Source organism: Homo sapiens, chromosome 6 (assembly GCF_000001405.40).
Source record: "Homo sapiens chromosome 6, GRCh38.p14 Primary Assembly".
Classification (NCBI taxonomy): Eukaryota; Metazoa; Chordata; class Mammalia; order Primates; family Hominidae; genus Homo; species Homo sapiens.
In genome coordinates, this window is record NC_000006.12 from 154,615,257 (window position 1) to 154,621,256 (window position 6,000).

General features: G+C 39.1%; 2 annotated features.

The window, feature by feature from the left end:
• Nucleotides 106–612: an enhancer, noted in NCBI's record as "H3K4me1 hESC enhancer chr6:154936496-154937002 (GRCh37/hg19 assembly coordinates)". NCBI's record gives its function as "activates a minimal SCP1, AML or CMV promoter by ChIP-STARR-seq in naive H9 embryonic stem cells {active_cell/tissue: H9 hESC(naive)}" and the evidence as "EXISTENCE:reporter gene assay evidence [ECO:0000049][PMID:30033119]".
• Nucleotides 2,505–2,674: an enhancer, noted in NCBI's record as "experimental_91055 CRE fragment used in MPRA reporter constructs". NCBI's record gives its function as "activates a minimal promoter by MPRAs in K562 erythroleukemia cells, with activity observed for both the introgressed and non-introgressed 6:154938980 variant alleles {active_cell/tissue: K562}" and the evidence as "EXISTENCE:reporter gene assay evidence [ECO:0000049][PMID:34662402]".

Below are 6,000 nucleotides of genomic sequence, written 5' to 3' on the forward strand. Positions count from 1 at the left end.
GCAGTTGTTCTGGTATTTTATCAAATAAATCAAATCATTACTTTTTAAAAAGAAAAAAAAATTTTCCTTTCAGTTGCTAATAAAACAGATATTGGTTGCTGGGAATTTTTTTTTTATCTTCAACTAGACTCCACTTCCCCCAGAAAGGTACCAAAAGCAGTTTAGGAGAAGATGGACAACTTGATCTCAGGTTTACTAAATTAGCAATAAACTTCAACTTCTCAAAAGTCTATGGTAAGAGTATTCAAGTCCCCTTTGCTTCTTGATTTTTAAACACAGTTATGTGCAGATTCACTTTTCCCAATCAATAAACAACGTCTCTTTATTACCTAAACTGGATAATTCCAGAAGTCAACAGGCAGCCAAATGGCAGTTTCTCATTTCTTTGAGATCACTGCTGATTGCTCCCTCTCCGGCTTCCTTGGAGCCTGTTGTGGACACTGTTGGCGTCTTGCCCAGTTCCTTCACCAGGCAGTGCCTCCACCCCACTGCTGTGGTGAGTGGCGGCTGCTGGTGGCTCACAGCTGCCTCCTTCTCGGAAGAACCGTGCTCAGCTCCTGGGAGGTTGCTGCCTCCAGGAGGTGATGTGCCTCCGGCAAGGCCCTGGCGGAGCTGCAGAGCACAACCCCCCTGCTGGATGGGGGCCACGTATGGGGCGCCCCGCACGTTGCAGAGCCACCCTTGGGCTTCCGCAAAAGCCGCGTCTTTGCTTCTTCTCTTGCTGTTTCCTCACTTCGGTAGAGGCTTCTCTCTCAATAAATCACTTACATGAGATAAGTAAATCACTCTCTTCAGGCCTAAAACAGCTGGGCTTTTGGTTACCCTAATGAGGAGCATTTTCATATAAAGTTATAGTTGATTAAAACTTAAATTCTTTAAAACTTAAAAATTAATATGGAAAAAAAATAGCTCACTATCCATCCCACCTTAGCCTCCAGTTCACGTGTGAGGAAATCTAAAATGTTCTTCAGATTCACAGCAACATCCAAGCTCCAAAGGCAGAGAAATAAGGATAAAATGCAATTATTATGCCTGGCCTACATAGTGGGTATTTAATAAACATTTCACAACTAAAAAAATTTTTGCCAAAATTTACTTGATTGGAAATAATGCCCAATTCAAGAATCAAAATGGCTGATTGTTGAATGTTTAAAAATGTTTTTGTGACTTTTACATAATTTTTTTGGAACCCAGAATACCCACTTAACATGTAGGAGTAACATATAGGTTTACGGAATAGGAAGAAAGGAGCTTGGGCCACAGTCCAGTCTTCAACTAGCCACCGTCAATTCCAACACAACTCCATCTCCATAATCCTGTACTGTGGCCCACAGGAAAGAGTGGAGCCTTACTGGGTACCAAAAGAATACTTTGCCTCTCTGAATGCACCTGGAGGGCAAGATTAACATTTGTATAAAATAATAATGACAGACGGGTGTGGTGGCTCATGCCTGTAATCCCAGCACTTTGGGAGGCCGAAGCGAGCGGATCACCTGAGGTCAGGAGTTCAAGACCAGCCTGGCCAACATGGCAAAACCCCATCTCTACTAAAATTACAAAATTTTAGAATACAAAAAATTACAAAATTTTAAAATACAAAAATTAGCCGGGCGTGGTGGTACATGTCTGTATTCTCAGCTACTCAGGAAGCTGAGGCAGGAGAATCACTTGAACCCAAGAGGCAGAGGTTGCAGTGAGCTGAGATCATGCCACTGCACTCCAGCTTGGGGGACAGAGTGAGACTTTGTCTCGAGAAAAAAAAAAAAGAAAGAAAGAAATAATAATGACAATACTACACAAAAATATATTGACATTTTAATTGACCTTTTGGGAGTCTAGTTGATAGATCAATAGATTAATAAAGTAAAATGAGAAATAAAGGGAAAATATTGGCATGTTGTTCGATTATTCAAATAGAATCTATTTTTTATTCATGGGATAAGTTGGAATTTTCCTTTTGTCAGGAGAATCTATTCTATAGCACAATCTTGATCTAGAATAATGACATACAAATAGACTTTTAGGATAGAAAACCAAATGATATCCTTACCAACTGTGGATTCAAAACCAAAAGGAAAATATATTGCATCACTTTTCTTGAAGAATGCAAGCAAAGGATAGGCATGTAGTTTAATCATCTCTGCAATGTATTAAGAGGTTAATCCTGTTTTAAGTAATCTATGAACTCTAACCATAAAACACACCATATTTAAAAATAAATATCCATGACTAGAGCATCTAAAGAGCATGTCTCCATTTAAAGAGGTCAGTCCCGGAGAACATCCGCTTTTTCCAGTGAGCTTTCCATTGTTTAAAAATGTAGGAGAGCTTCTTTTAGAATTACCTTCACAGACCACAGCATATTCTTTTGAAATTTTTCAGTGGTGAAAAATCCTTACTCTTTGAGGTTGGCCTCGACCTTCAAAAACAGCCAACACCTATTTTCAGACAAGTCTGAGGAAAACGGAATGATAGGGTTGGATAGTTAAGGCAATGACACATGTGAGGTAATTTACAAAAATACTCAAGCATAGAGAAGTTAAAACAAAGATGGCCGCTATATCCTGCCTTTCACATCCTGGCCCAGTTGTCTATCTCTGAGCATCTCTATATTGGTTTTTTTTCAGCTGGACAGTAAACTCTATTGAGTTTTCATTGTATCCCTGAAGTTCAGAGCTCAGAACTAAATCAAATAACATGATAATAATACAACTGTAATCGCTCTTGGCGGTATTAGCTTGAGGTTTGTCTCCTTGTAGCCTATGTGCTTATCAATTACATTGTCATAAATGCATGATAAGAGGATGGGCCCTTGAGCCAGGCTGCTTGGCCTGAAACCCCTGCTCCAATACTTATTATTAAACATGATTACTTAATCTCTCTAGGTTTCCATTTCAGCATCTGTTCAACAGAGATAATAATTGGAACTTTCTCATGTTGTTGCGCAGAGTCAGTAACAATATATTTCAAATATTTAGAACACTGCCTGCTATATAGTCCACACTAAGTAAGTATTAACCATAATTATTTTGTGTGGGTTTTGTGTGTAACAGGCAAAGAATGAGGAACTAGTCTTCAAAAATAAACAAACAACAAAATAAAAACCAGCTTTCATTGATTCAAATGATACACCACCATCCTAACCAAAGTTGCAGGAATATTTTTTTTTTTTTGAGATGGAGTCTCTCTCTGTCACCCAGGCTAGAGTGCAGTGAGGCGATCTCGGCTCACTGCAACCTCTGCCTCCCAGGTTCAAGCGATTCTCCTGCCTCAGCCTCCCGAGTAGCTGGAATTACAGGCGCACACCACCACGCCCAGCTAAATTTTTGTATTTTTAGTAGAGATGGGGTTTCACTATGTTGGTCAGGCTGGTCTCGAACTCCTGACCTTGTGATCTGCTCGCCTCAGCCTCCCAAAGTGCTGGGATTACAGGAGTGAGCCACCGCACCCAGCCAAGTCATAGGATCTTAAGAGGATTGAAAGCCATATAGTGATTCACAGGGCTCTAAGTATATAGGACAAAGACAGCTACTGAGAGGCGTTTTAGAGTTCCATAGCTGTGGATCTCAATGTGATTTTGGAAACCTCCAAAGAGATGAAATTATCGCTGTTAACAGAAATTGTTGGCTGTTATACTGTATTTTATAGAACGTAAGATGCCACCAATTGAAACACACATCCCAGCTTTGGAAATAATAATTTGAAAAAGTGTGTGCCTCCAAATCAATGAAATATGGTCACAGAAGTTTAGATGGCGACATCCAGCTTCTAGCTTTGGTGAATTCTTTCGCCTTCTAGGTGGAGCCTCACTCATGAAAAGGGAAACTTTCCCAGGATTCCATTATAAAGGTAACAACTGAGCTTTGAGTTCAGCACAGCGAGCAGGGGAAAGCCCCAGTGGGAGACCATATTTTATATAGGAGGTGAAGAAATGCAGAAGAATGTGGAAATTCTTGAGTATGCATAAATGTTTCCTAATGCAGGTGTTAAAAAACTCCCCAAGTGAATTCTGAAATTCAGAATCTTTTTCCATCTATGGAAAGAACACATTGTTCCAGTCAAAAGCGAAACAACCAGGCAAAAAAGAACTCCCAGACCTCTCTTTTCCATGCTGCCCTTTGATTTTCCGGGAGCTCCAGTCTTGGACTACAACCACAGTTACTGAAACCTGGACAGGCTGCTCCTCACCTAACGATAGCAGAGCCAAGACTCGCTGCAAACAGCATTAACAAATGCAAACGAATCAGCCCTAAAGGCTCAGATCCCATTTTTAACAATTTGTTTTTATATTTCAACTCAACAAATATTAGTCAAAGACTCTGGACTATGTGTAGGTTATTGTTTAAAAGAAAAATGAACCCAGGTGCAGAGAGTTTTGTGCCAAGGGCTAAAAAAGAGACTCTGAATTAGGATCACCTGGCACTCCATCCTGTGTAGGGGGATGAAGGGAATATGACAGAGGAAGGCAGGGCAGGGAGCCGGGGAGAGAGAAAAAGAGAGAGAGGCAGAGGGAGGTTGACATCTGTAAACATAATTCAATTTTCTTAGTGTCTTGGACTGCTCTAAAAAGAATTTTACACAGAAGTGTAGGAAAGACTGTCTTCTGATAATCCACTGGAATCTATTCACCACAAATTTGAAAGAAACTTCGAAGATTGGCCAAAGGTTCTTTGCACCTCACATGTACTCAACCATCACCACCTGCAGCCTATAGCCAATTGGTAAATTCATAACACACCCCTTCTGTTAAAATGTGACTCTTGGATCCATCTCCTCGGCTAGATTTGGGGGCATTTTGGCATAAAGTTTAATTTTTTGAGCAAGTTCCTGAGTGAAACTACCACTTTTTTGCAGATGAAGAATATAATTCAAGACGTTCATTTTTTTAGTATAAAACCTGGAAGATAGGCCAGGCGCAATGGCTCACGCCTCTAATACCAGCACTTTGGGAGGCTGAGGCAGGTGGATCACCTGAGGTCAGGAGTTCAAGACCAGCCTGACCAACATGGTAAAACCCCATCTCTATTAAAAATACAAAAATTTAGCTGGGCGTGGTGGTGTGCGCCCATAGTCTCAGCTCCTCGGGAGGCTGAGACAGGAGAATAATTGCTTGAACCCAGGAGGCGGATCTTGCAGTGAGCCAAGATCATGCCACTGCACTCCACCCTGGCCAACAGAGCGAGACTCCATCTCAAAAAAATTTAAAAAAAAAGATAAAAAAATAAAATAAAAAAACCTGGAAGATGAGTAGCCATATAATTCATCAGTATTTTTTAAATTAGATTATAAAGTGTATCTTATTTTATCCACTAAAAATAATTTTTTTAGGAAAAAATAATAGTTATATCTCAGTACTTTCATAATTATTCAATAATACTGTTCATACCCTACTTCAAGTAATTCTAAATGGTTTAATGTCTTTCACTTATAATTTGGATCAAATACTACTGGAGTTAGATCATTGAACATCTAAGACTTAGAAATCTTGTGTTTATACAATAATTAAGGAAATAATATTGGCATTTAATACAAGAGCAATTGGCAGGAATTTGTCAAGAAACTGTATCAGAACTTCATTTACCTAACTTAAATTTTCCTTGTTTTTTCATCTATATATTTTTCAAAAGTAATTGTCCAAACTATAAAAATGAAAATGAATACATTTTGTTTAATTATCTATAGCCTCTTTTATAACTAACCCAACAATGTCATTGTTAAAGTTTTTGTATTGTATTCTTCTCGTTGGCAAAATGAGATTTGGTAATATATTCAAAGCCTATCAGCTCTAACTTAGTATATTTGAAGCTCGATGACACCCTGGTAATGAATTTGAAATTGTCTGCCTTCCCTTCCACCACAAACACACACACTTTCTGGTATTTTTCTGAAATGCCAGAGCTCCAGATTTTATGCCATTATGTCTGAGTATCTAAAAGACGGCGATGATAAAGCACATGACATCGTATACACTCTGTTCTTTTGACTTTTAAATTCTCCTTA